Source organism: Homo sapiens, chromosome 7 (genome assembly GCF_000001405.40).
Source record: "Homo sapiens chromosome 7, GRCh38.p14 Primary Assembly".
NCBI lineage: Eukaryota > Metazoa > Chordata > Mammalia > Primates > Hominidae > Homo > Homo sapiens.
Genome location: NC_000007.14, coordinates 71,008,950 through 71,027,678, shown reverse-complemented (window position 1 = coordinate 71,027,678; position 18,729 = coordinate 71,008,950).

Here is an 18,729-nt window from a genome sequence, read left to right as displayed (position 1 = left end):
CTAGGAAGATCCGTGCCTAGCCAGGAACAAGAGAGCAGGACAGATAAACCTCTGTGGCTGCTCAAAATCCAAGGAAGCCACACAGAATTCTTCTGCTGGAGGTGGTAGAATCCTACCTGGGGCAAGCTACCTCCAGAAGCCCTAGAGTGACTAGGACAAACCCCACAAGCCACCCCCTCCCTCACACCCTTGGCTTCACATCTGAGACTTCAGGGTTCCCCTCCCAGTTCCCATGGCTGCTTAAGTGTTGTCTTTGTCTGTTTCCTCCTTATGCTACCTTATCCCTGAGAAATATTGCTCACACCCTACGACATGGTCCCCTACTTTCCTCTCTGCATTGATAGAAGGGGCTTTTCAAGGGCAAGGACTGTGAATGGCCCTGCTCTGTGTTCCCAGCCATAAGCATAGCCCCTGGCAGAAGGAATGTTGCACATGCTTAGCAGAAGGAAAGAAGGAAAAAACCCCGGGCTACCTGTGGTCATGGGGCCCAGTGAGTGCAGGGAGGACAGAGTGCCAGAGCCAAGACCCCCACGATTTGGTGGCCTGAAGGTTGCTCTCTGACAACATGTGGCATGATTGCCACAGTCCCTGGAATGTGCAGGACGTGGTTGGGTGTAGAAGTGACCTTTTGTTCCCACAATCTCCATGACAATTTGTTTTTTTAATGGCACCTAAGCAGCACATAACCTTGATTTGTAACATATTGACTATAGCCCCGACTAGTAAGTCCCTCTCCTCTGGCCAGGCATGGAGGCTCACACCTGTAATCCCCGCACTTTGGGAGGCTGAAGCAGGAGGATCATATGAGGCCAGGAATTCGAGACCAGACTGGACAACATAGCAAGACCCTGTCTTGACCAAAAAAAATTGAAATGAGCTGGATATGGTGGTGCAAGCCTGTAGTCCCAAGAACTTGGGAGGCAGAGGTGGGAGGGATCACTTGAACAGAGAAATTCAAAGCTACAGTGAGCTATGATCACGCCACTGCACTCCAGCCTGGGTGACAGAGCAAGACCACATCTCAGTAAAACAAAGTTAAATTAAAAGTCCTCTCCCCTGACTCAGAGTTTCCTCTGGATAACCAGTGTTTCCTGGAGGATCTGCCGAGCTGGAAAATCAAGTCCAGGGGTGTCAGCAGGTAGAGGAAGAACATGGATTCCATCTCAGCTCTCCCAGGAACAGTACTGGGGGGCTTGCGTAGGCTGCAGTCTGTGGGCCTCAGGTTCCCCATTGTGGGTCCGACCCAGCTTGAATATCCTAGAGACTGTACAATTCCATCACACATTCTTTTTAAAAATTTTAATTTTCAACTTTTTTTAGGTTCAGGGGCACATACGTAGGTTTGTTACATGGGAATATTGCATAACACAAGGGTTTGGTGTGCAGACTATTTTGTCACCTGGGTAATCAGTATAATACTCATAGATAGTTTTCCAATCCTCGCCCTCAAACTGGGCCCAGTGTCTGTTGTTACCCTCTTTGTGTCCTTGTACACTCAATGTTTAGCTCCCACTTGCAAGTGAGAACATGTGGTATTTGGTTTTCTGTTCCTGTGTCAATCGGCTAAGGATAATGGCCTCCAGTTACATCCATGCTGCTGCAAAGGCCATGATCTCACTTTTTTATAGCTGCATAGTATTCCATGGTGTATATGTACCCTATTTTCTTTATCCAGTCTACCGTTGATGGGCATTTAGGTTGATTCCGTATCTTTGCTATTGTGAATAGTGCTGAAATGAACATATACGTCCATGTGTCTTTGCATGCACATACATGTCCAATTCAGCACTATGGTAGAATGTACATGGTTGAATGATTTATTTATTTATGTGCATGGTAAACGATGGATGGATTGATTGATTTTTGAGATAGAGTCTCGATCTGTCAACCAGGCTGGAGTGCAGTGGCACGATCTCAGATCACTGTGATCTCTGCCTCTCGGGTTCAAGTGATACTCATGCCTCAGACAACTGAGTAGCTGAGATTACAGGCACGTGCCACCATATCCAGCTAATTTTCATATTTTTAGTTAAGATGGAGTTTCACCATGTTGGCCAGGCTGCTCTTGAACTCCTGACCTCAGGTCATCCGCCCGTCTCAAACTCCTGACCTCAGGTGATCCTCCTGCTTCGGCCTCTCAAAGAGCTGAGCCTAAAGGCATGAGCCACTGCGCCTGGCCTATGGTAGAATGATTTCTATTCCTTTGAATATATACCCAATAATAGCATTGCTGGGTTGAATGTCTACCACACTGTTACACATGTCGGGGACTTGAGGCCAGAGATGAGTGTTATCCCTGGGCAGATCATGGGGGGCAGGGCTCGGCTGGGCATCCTGCTCTTCAGATAACATCCCAAACAAGCAGCCAGCGACCCACTCTTCCTTCGTGGTGACCAAGGGACATAGTTCAGAATTCCAGCAGCACATGCTGGTTCCCACATTCCCTTTTTTCCCCCTTTTCTCCAGCCCATTGCTCAGTCTCCACATGAAAACTTGACAGAAGCCAGACTAGAGACATAAACCCAGTATTTGTTTATGAAAGATGGATTATCAAAATGATGCCAGGCATGATGGCTCATGCCTGTGATCCTAGAGCTTTGCGAGGCCAATGTGGGAGGATAGCTTGGGTCCAGGCATTTGGGACCAGCCAGGACAACATCGTAAGACCGTGTCTATACAAAAAATTTTAAAACTTAGCTGGGTGTGGTAGTGCAAGCCTGTGGTCCCCACTACATGAGAGGCTGGGGCGTGAGGATCGCTTGAGCCTGGAAGTTCGAGGCTGCAGCGAGCTAAGATCACACCACTGCACTCCAGTTTGGGCAACAGTGAGACTCTATCTCTAAAGAAATGTTAAAAAGACCAGGCATGGTGGTTCACGCCTGTAATCCCAGCACTTTGGGAGGCCGAGGCGGGTGGATCACCTGAAGTCAGGAGTTCGAGAACAGCCTGGCCAACATGGCGAAACCCCATCAGTACTAAAAATACAAAAATTAGCCGGGCACGGCGGTATACGCCTGTAATCCCAGCTACTAAGGAGGCTGAGGCAGGAGAATCACTTGAAACCAGGAGGCGGAGGTTGCAGTGAGCTGAGATCACACCACTGCACTCCAGCCTGAGTGACAGAGTGAAACTCCATCTCAAAAAAAAAAAAAAAAAAAAAAGGAAAGAAAGAAAAAAAGAGCACCTACAAGCCCTCAAATTAAGATGATTCCTCAGTTTTACTGTATTCCAGCAGTTTTCTAAGTGTAGTCTGGGTCTAAGTTCTCATGTTCTCACTGATTTATGTGATCTAAAAATCAAAGAAACTGAACTCATGGAGATAAAAATCAAAGCAACTGAACTCATGGAGATAGAGAATAGAATGATGATTACCAGGGGCTGGGAAGAGGGTAGTAGGGAGGGGGTACGTGGTGATGATTAATGGGTACAAACATATAGTTAGATAGAATGAATAAGATCTACTATTCGATAGCACAGCAGGGTGACTGCGGTGAACAAGAACTTATGGTACATTTTAAACTAACTAAAAGAGTATAATTGGAACATTTGTTTTTTTATTTTATTTATTTATTTTGAGACGGAGTCTCGCTCTGTCATCCAGGCTGGAGTGCAGTGGCGCGATCTCGGCTCACTGCAAGCTCCGCCTCCTGGGTTCACGCCATTCTCCTACCTCAGCCTCCGATGTAGCTGGGACTACAGGCGCCCGCCACCACGCCCGGCTAATTTTTTTGTGTTTTTTAGTGGAGATGGGGTTTCGCCGTGTTATCCAGGATGGTTTTGATCTCCTGACCTTGTGATCCGCCCGCCTCAGCCTCCCAAAGAGCTGGGATTACAGGCGTGAGCCACCGTGCCCAGCCGGAACATTTGTGACACAAAAAAATGATAGACGCTTGAGGTGATGGATACCTCATTTACCCTGATGTGATTATTACATGTTCCAGGCCTGTATCAAAGTACCTCATGTATGCCATAGATATATACTATATACACATACAAATTTTTAAAAATTTTTAATTAAAAAAAACTTTAAGTGTGGTATGGGGATCTCTGGGCTCTTCAAGACTCTTTTGGGGGGTCTGCAGGGACAAAACTACTTTACAACAATCCTAACATGCTATTGGCCTTTTCATTCACATTCATTTCATTCACAAGCATACAGTGTTTCCCAGAGGCTACATGACGTGGGGTATTGCAACAGATTAAAGGCAGGTTTGAGAACCTAGCTGTCTTCAGCCAGATATTGAAGAGCTTTGCAAAAATATAAAACAATGCCGGCCGGGCGTGGTGGCTCACACCTGTAATCCCAGCACTTTGGGAGGCTGAGGTGGGCAGATCACGTGAGGGAGTTTGAGACCAGCCTGACCAACATGGAGAAACATCTCTACTAAAAAATACAAAATTAGCTGGGTGTGGTGGTGCATGCCTGTAATTCCAGCTACTCGGGAGGCTGAGGCAGGAGAATTGCTTGAACCTGCAAGGTGGAGATTGTGGTGAGCCGAGATCGCACCATTGCACTCTAGGCTGGGCAAGGAGAGCAAACCTCTGTCTCAAAACAAATAAACAACAACAACAACAACAAAAACAATGCCATTCTTCTCACTACGCTTTTTTGTTTGGGAAAGATCTGCTTTCTTAAAGCGTGTTATTTATGTTAAACACGCAATAGGTTCCTTATTGTTTAAAATGAATTAATATTTTAAGAATTTATCAGCCTTACGTTCTCACACAGTAAATATCCCTAGATATAGCACACATAAACAAAAGATTTTTGAGGTGCTCAATAATTTTTAAGAGTGCAGAGGGAACTTTCCCTGAGACCAAAAAGTTTGAAAACTGTTTTCTACTCAACAGGAGCTTAGGGCTTTAACGAATACCAGATCTGGGTTCAAATGCTCACTGTGTGACCGGGAGTGGTGGCTCACACCTGTAATCCCAGGACTTTGGGAGGATGAGGCGGGTGGATGATTTGAGATCAGGAGTTCGAGACCAGCCTGGCCAACATGGTGAAACCCTGCCTCTACTAAAAATACAAAAAATAGCCAGGCCTGGTGGCGCACACCTGTGGTCCTAGCTACTTGGGAGACTAAGGCAGGAGAATCACTTGAGTCCAGGAGGTGGAGGTTGCAGTGAGCCAAGATCACACCACTGCACTCCAGCCTGGGCGACAGTGTGAGACTCTGTCTCAAAAAAACAAAAACAAATGCTGACTGTGCAGCCTCCTAGCCATGCAGACTTGGGCAAGTTACTGAACTTCTCTGAACTTGAGTTTCTTCATTGGTGAAAGAGAGGTGTTTACCTCCATGCCTGGCCCTTGTGAGGTGCTGGGTAAATATTAATTTTGCCCCAGCTTTATAGGACAAAGACATCTTACCTGGACATTGGCAGCCGAAGGGTATCTGCTGAGGGAGGAGAGACGCTTTGCAATCCTTGCTGCTGAATTAGAATTTAGCTATTTTTGCACTTCTTTTCCTTTCTTCCTACCTTCCTTCCTTTTCTTTCTTCTTTCTTCGCTTTTCTCTCTTTCCTCTTTCTTCTTTCTTTCTTTCTTTCTTTCTTTCTTCCTCTTTCTTTCTTTTGACAGGGTCTCACTTTGTCACCCAGGCTGGAGTCCAGTGGCACAATCACAGCTCCCTGCAGCCTCGATCTCCCAGGCTCAAGTGATTCTCCTGCCTCAGTCCCCCAAGTTGCTGGGACTACAGGCACGTGCCACCATGTGCTAATTTTTGTATTTTTTTGTAGAGATGGAGTTTCACCATATTGCTCAGGAAATGAGAACCCTAGGTCTCAAATTCCTAGGCTCAAGCCATCCTCCCACCTTGGCCTCCCAAAGCGCTGGGAATATAGGCCTTGTAAGCCACTGTGCCTGGACCATTTTTTTTTTTTTTTGACATTGTCTGTCTCTGTCACCTAGGCTGGAGGGCAGTGGTGCAATCATCGCTCCCTGCAGCCTTGAACTTCTGGGCTCAAGCAGTCTTCCTGCCGTGGCTACCCAAAGTGCTGGGATCATGGGTGTGAGCCAATGCGCTTGGTCTGCTTTTGCATTTCTGACACACTCTCAGGCACCTATCATTGGTACTGGGGCCACATTTTGACAACCACAGATGTGGGCCTGAGTTCAAATCTTACAGATGATTAAAAAGTGTTTTACCTCCTTGGTATTTAATGAAATCCAGGTTCTGGGAGGTTCTTGGAAGAGAAGGGGCTCCTGGGAGTAGGAAGAGTTTCCAGAAAGAGATGAGAAGGGGGCCCCTGGCCAACTTCATGAACTGAACCTTTGGATTTCCATAAACAAACCCTTCACGCACGCTCTCCACCTTGAAAACCCTGTTCTCCTACCAGAAAGAGAGCTAGCAGAGCCATGTCCACAGGGTGTGACAAATATTTCTCAGCTGCCTGAAGTCCTGGTCTGTTTCACACCATCTGCTTCCTAACCTCTTGACATCCCTCTTCTCCTTTCTCCTCCTTTTTTTTTCTTTTGAGATGGAGTCTTGCTCTTTCGTCCAGGCTGGAGTACAGTGGCTGGATCTTGGCTCACTGCAACCTCCGCTCCCCGGGCTCAAGCAATTCTCCTGCCTCAGCCAACTGAGTAGCTGGGATTACAGGCATCCGCCACCACACCTACCTAATTTTTGTATTTTCAGTACAGATGGGTTTTCACCATGTTGGCCAGGCTGGTCTTGAACACCTGACCTCAAGTGATCTGCCAGCCTTGGCCTCCCAAAGTGCTGGGATTACAGCCGTGAGCCACCCGGCCTGGCCTACAAAAATATTTTTTAAAAAATCAGCCAGGCATAGTGGTGTATGCCTGTAGTCCCAGCTACTCAAGAGGCTGGGGCGGGAGGATCGCTTGAGCACAAGAGGTCAAAGCTGCAGGCAGCTATGATCACACCACTGCACTCCAGCCTGGGCAACACAGCAAGACCCTGTCTCTTTAAAAAAAAAAAAGCACTATAGAAAGGAGCCCCTGGCCGGGTGTAGTGGCTCACGCCTGTAATCCCAGCACTTTGGGAGGCCAAGGAGGCAGATTGTCTGAGGTCAGGAATTCGAGACCAGCCTGGGCAACATGGTAAAACCCTGTCTCTACTCAAAATACAAAAAAAAAAAAAAAAAAAAAAAAGCCAGTCGTGGCGGTGCGTGCCTATAGTCCCAGCTACTCAGGAGGCTGAGGCACGATAATCACTTGAACCCAGGAGGTGGAAGTTGCAGTGAGCCGAGATCGCGCCACTGCACTGCAGCCTGGGTGACAGAGCGAGACTCTGTCTCCAAAAAAGGAAAAAAATTCCTGCAGTTGACCTACAATTGTCCCAGAGTGAACGGCCATCCTGACTCCCAGCTCCCTCATTTCTGAAGAAGCTGCAGTAACAGGCAAGTATTTGAGAAGACATAGAGTGAATAAAAGCAACTTCTCTCCGGGTCAGAAGACCAGTTTCTAGCCTCACCAAGCACTAAGGAACTTGTGCTTGGGCCTAACTAGCAAGTTTTCATGTATCTTAGTACTTTCTGTTTGCCTTCAATGTAGTTATGAGATTACACACCAGACTAAAAACCCCAGGGTCCCCTTTGGATAGAAGAAAGTTCCAAAAATCTGTCAAGCATTATTTAGAGACTAATCCTGTTTTTCCAAGCTGGTTGGTGACTGGTCCCTGGGGTCTCTGGTCGGGGACCTCAACTGGACAGCCTGGCAGCTGCCTTCTCATCCTCCCGCTGCGTGGTAGGGTTTCACAGCCTTGTGCCCTGGGCCGGGAGCCCAGAGAGGCCTTGCTAAAGGGATGCTTGGAACATTCCCCTGAAAACGCCTGGCTTTATTTCCCATCCTGGCCGATGTTCTGCTGACCTGATCTTCTAACCACATAATTATGTTATTAGCATATGATGAACCACAGTATACAATGTGTCCTGCTGGAGAGAATTAGAATAAACTGCCGCTTCAGCAAAGTTCCAGATAAAACAGCACCACAAAAGGAAAGAGAGAGAAGGCAGGAGAGGACACGCCGTGGTTGCAGGTACATCCACTGTGCCTCCCTCTAGGCCCCCTCCTGGGGTCATGGATGAAGACAGACACCCAGCGAGAGTGGAGGAGTGACTTGGCTTGAAACTCACAGGGCCCAGGCATCCCCGGTGAGAATGAGAACCCAGCATCAAGCCTTGCCTAGGTCTTAGCAGGAATTGCAGCACTGGGAACAGAGGGGAGATGGTTTCTGCAGGCAGAGATAGGCTCAGAGGATAGAGAGCAAAATGCCTCACGATGAGGGCTCAAAGCCTGCATGGCTGGGCAGCCCCAGGAGGAGGGCCCGTGTCCTACACCCAGGTGGAACCCACACTTGGTCACACCACAGTAGCCCACGGCAATGCACATAAGAGCCTGCTATGGGCCAGGCGCAGTGGCTCACGCCTGTAATCCCAGCACTTTGGGAGGCCGAGACGGGCAGATCACGAGATCAGGAGATGGAGACCATCTTGGCCAACATGGTGAAACCCCATCTCTACTAAAAAAAAAATACAAAAGTTAGCTGGGCATGGTGCCGCGTGCCTATAATCCCAGCTACTCAGTAGGCTGGGGCAGGAGAATCGCTTGAACCAGGGAGACGGACGTTGCAGTGAGCTGAGATCGCGCCACTACACTCCAGGTTGGCAACAGAGCAAGACTCCGTCTCAAAAAAAGAGCCTCCTATGCCTAGGGTCAGGGCCCACAGTTGCCACAGCTTCAAGCCATTCTGATCTTGAATGACCCCACATTGCAGGCTCTTCTTGACTTGGAACCTTTGCTCATAGGGTTCCATCTGCCTAGAGTTCCCTTCCCCTTTCTTTTCTGCTGTCCTTTAGAGCTCATCTCTAGTGCGGTCCTTTTTTTATTTTCATTTTTTGGAGACAGAGTTTTGCTTTATCGCCCAGGCTGGAGTGCAGGGGTGTGATCCCAGCTCACTGCAGCCTCCAACTCCTGGGCTCACACGATCCTCCTGCCTCAGCCTCCTAAGTAGCTGGGACTACAGGCATGTGCCACCATCCTCAGCTCAGCTTTTAATTTTATATAGAGATGTTATATATAAACAGATGTTGCCCATGCTGGTCTCAAACTTCTGGCCTAAAGGGATCCTCCCACCTCAGCTCCTAAAGTGCTGGGACTACAGGCATGAGGCTCCATGCCTGGCCCACCATGCCTCCTTGAATATAGGAGCCAGAGGGTGAAAGTTGGGAGAGTGATCTTGTGCCATCCTGTATTGCCATAGGACTGCAGAAGCGATGGCTGCAGCTCCATCCCAGGCTGGTTTCGAACTCCTAGGCCCAAAGGATCCTCCTGCCTCAGCCTCCTAAAGTGCTGGGATTACAGGTGTGAGCTGCCACACCTGGCCCAGGGATGCCTTTTGCTGGCCTCTGTCATGTGCCTGCCCCGCTGTGTTGGAATGATTTGCCTGGATGAATTATCCCTGTTGTTTTCTTTTGTAATGGACTGAATGTCTATCTCCTACTAAAATTCATGTGTTGAAAACCTGATCTCAGTGTGATGGTATTTGGAGGTGGGGCCTTTGGAAGGTAATTAAGTCATAAGAGTTGTGAACCCGGAAAATCTGAGACAGGTCTCAGTTAATTTAGAAAGTTTACTTTGCCAAGGTTGAGAACGTGCGCCAGTGACACAGCCTTAGGAGGTCCTGACTGTAAGGTTCTTGTATCCATTCGAACCCCAAGAGTGCGCCAACAGACAACACGAGGCGGTGTGGAGCAACGTGCTGTTTTAATGAGCGCCTGGGTGCAGGCGGGCTGAGGCCTAAAATGGCGTCAGCCCCAGTTGAGGACAGGGCAAAGGTTTTATAGTCTCCTGTAAACAAGAAGTGTCCTAGTCTGACGTAACTGCTACGTTATTCCCACATGGCCTCTTTCTCGATCTTCAGGGGTACGTGACTTCCGGCCAGGGTACGTGTCTTCGGGCAGGCTCTCTTCCTGCTTCTGCTATCTTGCTGATGCACGATGCTGACCTAAGTAGCCTTGCGCCTTGGGACTGGGCCTGAGAAGGGAGGAGTTACTCAGCCCTTCAAGTTTTCAGGTCCCAGGGAAAATCTTACACTGACGACATGTGACCAAGGTGGTCAGAGCACAGTTTGGTTGTATACATTCTAGGAAGACATGAGAGATCAATCAACAAATGTAAGGTGAACATTGGTTCAGTCTGGAAAGGCCGGACAACTCAAAGTGAGGTGGGGGCTTCCAGGTCATAGGTAGATAAGAGACAAATGGTTGCATTCTTTTGAGTTTCTGATTCACCTTTCAAAGGAGGCGATCAGATATGCATTTATCTCAGTGAGCAGAGGGGTGACTTTGAATAGAATAGGAGGCAGGTTCGCCTGAAGCAGTTCCCAGCTTGACTTTTCCCTTTATCTTAGTGATTTAAGGACCCTAAGATTTATTTGCCTTTCACAAAGTGGAACCCCCATGAATAGGATTAGTGCAGTTATAATTTTTTTTTTTGAGACAAAGTCTCACTGTATTGCCCAGGCTGGAGTGTAGTGGCGCAATCTCAGCTCACGGCAACCTCCGCCTCCCAGGTTTAAGCCATTCTCCTGTCTCAGCCTCCCGAGTAGCTGGGACTACAGGCATCCACCACCACGCCCGGCTAATTTTTGCATTTTGAGTAGAGACAGGGTTTCACCATGTTGGCCAAGCTGGTCTCAAACTCCTGACTTCAGGTGATCCACCCACCTTGGCCTCCCAAAGTGCTGGGATTACAGGCATGAGCCACTGTGCCCGGCCAGATTAGTGCACTTATAAGAAGAGGCCAGAGAGCTAACTAGCTGTCTTTCTACCATGTGAGGACACAGAGAGAAGCTGGAAGTCTGCAACCCAGAAGAGGGGCCTCACCAGGACCCCGCCCATGCTGACATCCTGATCTTGGACTTCCAGCTTCCAGAGCTATGAGAAATAAATTGCTGCTGTTTTTGAGCCACTCAGCCTATAGCACTTTGCTACAGCAGCCCAAAGGGACTAAGACACTTGCTCCAAACTTCCTTCAGGCAGCAGCATGGCTTGATCCATCTCTGCACAAGATGTTCAAGACACTGTGGATTTGAACAGTCATGCTGTTGGGACCTCGGGGAGATGGGAGGCTGCCTGGACATTTTTGGGCAGTGATACATGGAGAACTTTGGTGCCTTGCTGAGGAGTTCAAGGATGCAGTGCTGGCCAGTGCTTGAATTTCTCCTGCTCCCTGGGATCTGGAGATGAGGGGGAGTCTGTTTCTGAAGATCAGGAGGCCCCAGCTCGAGGAGAAGGGGATGATGAGGCTGGCGGCCAGGTGGGTGGCAAATGGATGGGAGGCTACAGATAGGAGCCCTGGAGTAGGAAGGCAGAAATAAGACCACCTGAGCAGAGGGCAGAGCGTGGTGTTTTTTGTTTTTTGTTTTTTTAAGACGGTGTCTTGCTCTGTTACCCAGGCTGGAGTGCAATGGCATGATCTCGGCTCATTGCAACCTCCGCCTCCTGGGTTCAAGCGATTCTCCTGCCTCAGCCTCCCAAGTAGCTGGGATTACAGGCCTGCACCACCATGCCCAGCTAATTTTTGCATTTTTAGTAGAGAAGGGGTTTCACCATGTTGGCCAGGTTGGTCTCAAACTCTTGACCTCAAATGATCTGCCTGCCTCGGCCTCGCAAAATGCTGGGATTACAGGCGTGACTGAGCCACCACACCCATCCCAGAGCATGGTATTGATGAGAGGCAACCTTCCCTGCATTTGGCCTCCTTTCTGGACACCCAAGGGTGCTTGCTCCAGGCCAGGGGGTCTGCTGTATCCATCCCCCCTCCCCCTACCTCCACCCTGGCCATGCCTCAAGCCTCCCTCTCTTTTCCGCTCCTGGATCCAGAGCGGGGCTGGCGGAGCCAAGTGGCTGCTCCGACTGTTCCCCTACTTGGCTTTTGCCCCTGCTCTTCTTGGCTCCCTGATGAAGTTCCCAGAGCCTCTGCTCCAACATTCCCGCTTCCTGGAGGCACCGAACTCACTCCAGTCCTCCTTACTCTCAGCCGATGACCTCATCTGCTTCAGGGAGATTGGAACCACGCAGCGTGAACTCCTCTAAATTCCATCCCTTCTGCTTCTTAATATCCATCCCTTCATCCTCCTGTCTTCCTTTTCTCTCCTCTCCTGGCAAGAGAACCCCTCCCCTCTGCCTCCAGCCTCCTCCCATTTTCCCCTTCACTTTCCCGGTCGTTCCTTGGTGTCTACAGCAGGACTGTTCCATCCCAAGGAAAATATGACTCCTTAACCCAGATGGTCCTCAAGCTGCCGCCCTTCAGTTCTCCTTCCTGTTGCCAGCAAACTCGGAGAATGAAAGATTCATCCAAACACCTCTGCTCCTTCACCTTCCTCAACCCTCGTAATCACGATTTCAACCCAAAGCATGACCAAAAAGATGCCCTTGGAAAGATCATCGCGATATGTTGTGAATCAAAAAATGCAGATGGTAAAACATGATGTGTACTGCAATTCCATTTCTTGTTTTAAAAAGTGTTATATTTACATATTTTTTTCATTGAGAAATGTTATATAATAAAATAATAGAAGGTATATCCAAATGATGTGATTGTGGGTGTTTTTAATTCTTTTTATCTATTTTCAGATTTTTCTTAAGGAACATGAATTATGTGTGAAAAATATAGAGGCTTCAGAAAAAATGCAGCAAACTGCTTTTCAGATGTTCAGAAATAACCTTGAAATTCAATGACACATCACTCCTTATATATCAAAAGGATAGATAAAAAATTTAAAAGTAAAAAATGAAGCAATAAAAGAGTTAGAAGAATCTTGGCATAGGTGAGACTTTTCTCTTCTGTGGCTTTTGGGGTTTGAGAAAGAGTGGTTCGTCCAATACACTTGGTGGCAGCAAATACAGTGAACAAAGTCAAAATACACTGGACAAAGTAGGGGGAATTAGGCTGGGTACAGTGGCTTATGCCTGTAATCCCAGCACTTTGGGAGGTGGAGGCGGGAGGATCGCTGGAGCCTAGGAGTTTGAGACCAGCCAGGGCAACACGGTGAAACACTACCTCTCCAAGAAATTTTTAAAAATTAAACAGGCATGGTGGCACATGCCTGTGGTCCTTTAAAAATTAACCAGGCATGGTGCCACATGCCTGTGGTCCCAGGTACTCAGGAGGCTGACGTGGGAGAATCGCCTGAACCCTTGTAGTCGAGGCTGCAGTGAGTGTGAACACATCACCTCACTCCAGCCTGGATGAAAGAGTGAGACCCTGTCTCTAAATAAATAAATAAAACAAAGTAGGGGAAATTTGTTGTATGTGAAAATGGTTAGTTCCCTTAAACTAATTATTTAAATACTACTTTTGAATCAATAAGGAAAAATAGCAACTAATCAATAGAAAAATGAGTGGGCAAAGGACTTGAAATACTTCCCAGAAAACGATAGACTTAACTTAGAAACACATGAAGAGGAAGGCAAAACTTTACAAGAAAAGGCACCATTTCTATTATTTGTATTAGACTGTCAAAGAATAAAAATATTGATCATGTACAGTGCAGACAAGAATATGCAGAAACTGAGATTTTCACACATTGGGGTGGGAATGTAAATTGATCTATGCAGTGCTGTCTTTCCAAATTTAAAATTCACAAGCTCTTTGAACCGTCACACACTTCTGGGAATTTATTCTGGAGATATGCTTCTAAAGAATCAGCTGTTGGTTTCTGTGATTCTCTCTATTCTTTTCCTGTTTTTGATTTGGTTGAGGTCTGCTCTAATTTTTATCTTCTTCCTGCTGCTTGCTTTAGGTTTGCTTTTCTTTCTTTCTTTCTTTCTTTCTTTCTTTCTTTCTTTCTTTCTTTCTTTCTTCTTTCTTCCTTTCTTTTCTTTCTTTCTTTTCTTTCTCTTTCTTTCTTTTTCTTTCTTCTTTCTTTCCTTCCTTCCTTCTTCCCTTTTCTCTTTCTTTCTTTCTCTTTCTCTCTTTCTTTCTCCTTTCTCCTTCCTTCCTTCCCTTCCTCCCTCCTTTCTGTCTGTCTTTCTTTTTCTTTCTCTTTCTTCTTTCTCTTTCTTCCTTTCCTTTCCTGTTTTTCTTTCTTTCTTTCCTCTCTCTCTTTCTTTTTTCTTTTCTTTCTCTCTTTCTTCTTTCTTTCTTTCTTCTTTCTTTCTTTCCTTCTTTCTCCTTTTTCTTTCCTTTCTTTCTTTCTTTTGGCAGGGTCTTGCTTTGCCCCCCACAGGCTGGAGTGCAGTGGCACAATCATAGATCACTGCAGCCTCAGACTCCCAGGATCAAGTGATCCTCCTGCCTCAGCCTCCCTAGTAGCTGGGACTACGGGCACATGCCACCACACCCAGCTAATTTTTTTTTTTTTAATTTTTGGGGGTTTCGCTTTGTTGCCCAGGCTACCTGGAACTCCTGGCCTCAAGCAATTCTTTCCCCTTGTCCTCCAAAATAGGTTTTCTTTTCTCTCATGAGTTTCCTAAGGTAGAAATTTAAGCAACTTTGTGATTTTTCATCTTTGTCGAGTATGAGTATTCAATGCTATACATCTCCCTCTAAGGACTACTTATTCTGCATCCCACAAATTCTGATTTATTCTATTTCATTTCAAAAGACTTTGAAATTTTCCTTAAGACATCTCTTTTTTGACCCATGGGCTATTTAAAAGTATAGTGTTTAAATTCCTAACCATTGGGCGTTTCTGACTAACTCTTATCAATTTCTAGTGCTATTTGGATATGATGCAAGAATGCCCATTGTATTATTTCTATTCCTTTACATTTTTTGAGGTTTGTTTTTAGCCCAGAACATGATCTATTGGGATGAATGCTGCTTGTGTACTTGAGATAAATTTGTATTCTACTATTGTTGAATAAAGTGTTCTATAAATGTCAATTAGACTTAGTTGATTATATTTTGTCTAAAATTGATCGGTAGTGATTTGTCCAACATTAATATGATGACTCCTGCTTTTTTTCATTGATGTTTTCATGGTATATTTTTCTTCATCCCTTTTTAAAAAAACGTATACATGGGGCGGGCGTGGCAGCTCACACCTATAATCCCAGCACTTTGAGATGCCAAGATGGGTGGATCAGCTGAGGTCAGGAGATCGAGACAAGCCTGGCCAACATGGTGAAACCCCTTCTCTACTAAAAATACAAAAATTAGCTGGGCATGGTAGCACACCCCTGTAATCCCAGCTACTCGGGAGGCTGAGATGGGAGAATTGCCTGAACATGGGAGGCGGAGGCTGCAGTGAGCCGAGATTGCGCCACTGCACTCCAGCCTGGGCGACAGAGCAAGGCTCCATCTAAAAAAAAAAAAAAGTATCCATGTCTTTCCAGTATATTTAAAGTGAGTATATTGTATACAAAATAAAATATAGTTGAGGCTTGATTTTTTAAAAAATCCAATCCGACAATGTCTGTCTTTCAACTGGTGTGTTTAGATCATTCACATTTACAGTAATGGCCTGGCACAGTGGCTCATGCCTATAATCCCAGCACTTTGGGAAGCTGAGGCAGGTGTATCACTTGAGGCCAGGAGTTCGAGACCAGCCTGGTCAACATGGTGAAACCCCATCTCTACTAAAAATACAAAAATTAGCCAGGTGTGATGGCGCACGCCTGTAATCCCGGCTACTCAGGAGGCTGAGCTGTAATCCCAGCTACTCGGGAGGATTGCTTGAACCTGGGAAGCAGTTTTCAGTGAGCTGAGATCACACCACTACACTCCAGCCTGAGTGACAGAGCCAGACTCTGTCTCAAAAAATAAAATAAAATTTAAAAAAGTAATTAGTAATATATTTGGACTAAAACCACGTTTCCAAGCTCTTTTCTTTTTGTTGTATTTGTTCTTTGTTTCTTGTTTACTGGTTGGTTTTTATTTTTATTTTTTTGCCTCGTCTGGTTTTAATGAGAATTTTTGTGATTCTGTTTTATCTTCTCTATTAGTTTACTATTTGTGCTTTTTAACCTTTCTAGTGTTTTCCTTATGGTTTATAATATACATTTTTAAATAATCTAAGTCCATTTCTGATTATAATAACGTTTCATCATAATATCGTATCTCTTCATGCATGGTGAAAGGAACTTATAACAAAATACCCGACTCCCACTTCCTTCTTCCCATGTCTTGTTTTACTGTGTCATGTATTTCTCATTTGCATATGATATAAGCACCAATATATAACTACTATTGTTACTTTCTGCAGTCAGTGATTTTTTTATAGCAACTAAAATTTTTCTTAGTTATATTTTACTTTTATCTCAATACTAATGCTCTTCATTTCTTTGTGTATATCTAAGTTTCTTACCTTAATAATATTCCTTCTGCCTGAGGAAAAAACCTTTTTCTTTGTTACTTGGGCGTGGAAAGTTGAAGTTTTCCTTTTGATTTAGTTCTCGGAAGTCAGTGTGAATCAGCTTTAGGTTCCCTGCCTCTAGACCCTATTCTTCTGCCTCAGAAGGATGGAGATAATCCAGAGGTGTTGGCTGGGGAAGGGGAGTGGCAGCCACTGACGGAGCTCCACAGAGACCCTTCTTCAACTATTTTCTTTCACCACTTTAAAAGGCATCACTCCACTGTCTTCCTCCTTTCTTGCATAGTTTCTTTTTTTTTTTTTTTTTTTTTGAGACAGAATCTTGCTCTGTCACCCAGGCTGGAGTGCAGTGGCATGATCTCAGCTCACTGCAACCTCCGCCTTTCAGGTTCAAGCGATTCTCCTGCCTCAGCCTCCCGAGTAGCTGGGATTACAGGCACCTGCCACTGTGCCAAGATTAATATTTTGTATTTTTAGTAGAGACGGGGTTTCACCATGTTGACCAGGCTGGTCTCAAACTCCTGACCTCTGGTGATCCATCCACCTTGGACTCCCAAAGTGCTGGGATTACAGGCGTGAGCCACTGTGCCCGGCCTCTTTCACCACGTTAAAGGCATTACTCCACTGTCTTCTTGGTTGCGTAGTTTCTGACAAGAAATCTGCCATTATTTTTGTCCTTGTTCCTCTGTAGGTAAGGTGCTTCTTTCCCTCTGTAGCTGATTTCAAGATTTTCTTTTTGCCTTTGGTGTTCTGCCTCTTGAGCTCTCGCATCTGTATTTTGATGTTATTGACTTGCTATTATTCTTACTGGAAGCTTGTTAGCATGGTGGTAAGGTATGGAGGATAGGGAGCGTTTTGTAGTTTTCTGATTAACTCTCCATTTCTGGAAGTGTACAATGGGCCTGTGTCTTGGGATGTAGCCTTCACAAGTGTTTCTGTCCCTCACCTAAGAGTAGAGTTTTGTTGTTGCTATTGTTGTTGTTTTTAGACAGAGTCTCGCTCTGTCGCCCAGGCTGGAGTGCAGTGGCGCCATCTCAGCTCACTGCAACCTCTGCTTTCCAGGTTCAAGCGATTCTCCTGCCTCAGCCTCCCCAGTAGCTGGGATTACAAGCACCTGCCGCTGCGCCTGGCTAATTTTTTTGTATTTTTAATAGAGACGGGGTTTCTCCATGTTGGTCAGGCTGGTCTTGAACTCCCGACCTCAGGTGATCCACCTGCCTCGGCCTCCCAAAGTGCCGGGATTACAGGTGTGAGCCACCACGCCTGGTTAAGAGTAGAGTTTTTAATCCCTCCACCCTTATTCCTTTTCCATGCAGCAGTGCATAAATTCCAATACTTTATTTTTCAATCTACCCTAAGACTCTCCTCTCTGCAGAGTAAGATTTTGTATTGAGTTTCTTTTCCTCCTTTATGTGAGAAAGAGATGCTTGGGCTGCAGGGAGTGGCCTCTGGCAATATACTCCTGCCTGAAGATTAAGCTCTTTCTTCTGTAAGGAAGAAGGATCTCTTTGGAGCTTTGTCAGTGGCTGCCACTCCCCTTTCCCAGCCAATGCGTCTGGATTATCTCCATCCTTCTGAGGCGGGAGAATAGGGTCTAGAGGCAGGGAATCTAAGGCTGATTCACACTGACTTCCTAGAATTAAATCAAAAGGGAAACTTCAACTTTCCATTACCAAGTAACAAAAGAACAGGCGCTCCTCCCTTTGCAATCCCCCACTCTCTCTATCAGGGATGAGAAATAAAAAATACCTCTGATTGGTCCTCTTCCACAACCAATCAGACTGGTCGTGGGCCTAGTCTTCATTTGCATAGAAGTGTAACTTTGTAACTTCACTTTAGCCTCTGATTTGTTGCCTTCCACAACCAGTCAAACTGATCAAAGACTGCTCCTTCATTTTCATAGGGTGTAAACCAAGTAACCAATGGGAAACCTCTAGAGGGTATTTAAATCCCAGATAATTCTGTAACCAGGGCTCTTGAATTGCTTTCTTGAACCCACTCCCACTCTATGGAGCATACTTTCATTTCAATAAATCTGTGCTTTTGTTGCTTTCTTCTTTCATTGCTTTGTTTGTGCATTTTGTCCAGTTCTTTGTTCAAAATGCCAAGAACTGGGACAATTTGTAGTCAAAACCCTCCACCTGTAACACTTCCTATGAGAGCTTGGTGGAGTTCCTGGAGGAAAACCTGAAAAGGGAGGAGGAAGTCTCCTCCCCCCATGACTACAGCTCCCAGGAGCCTCACACTGTCATACTAGGCCAATAGGAAACAAAATTTCTCGTTTCGTGTTTCTCTCAGTGTGTATGATATCCAGGGGCTTCTTTGCTTCTCCCCCAGGCAAGCAAATAAGCAGGTCAGGAGTTTCCCTGCAAGGACCTGTTTCTCTTCAAGATGGCTGTGTGTCCTGTGACCTGTTCTCTCATTTCAGTTCTCTAACGGGTTC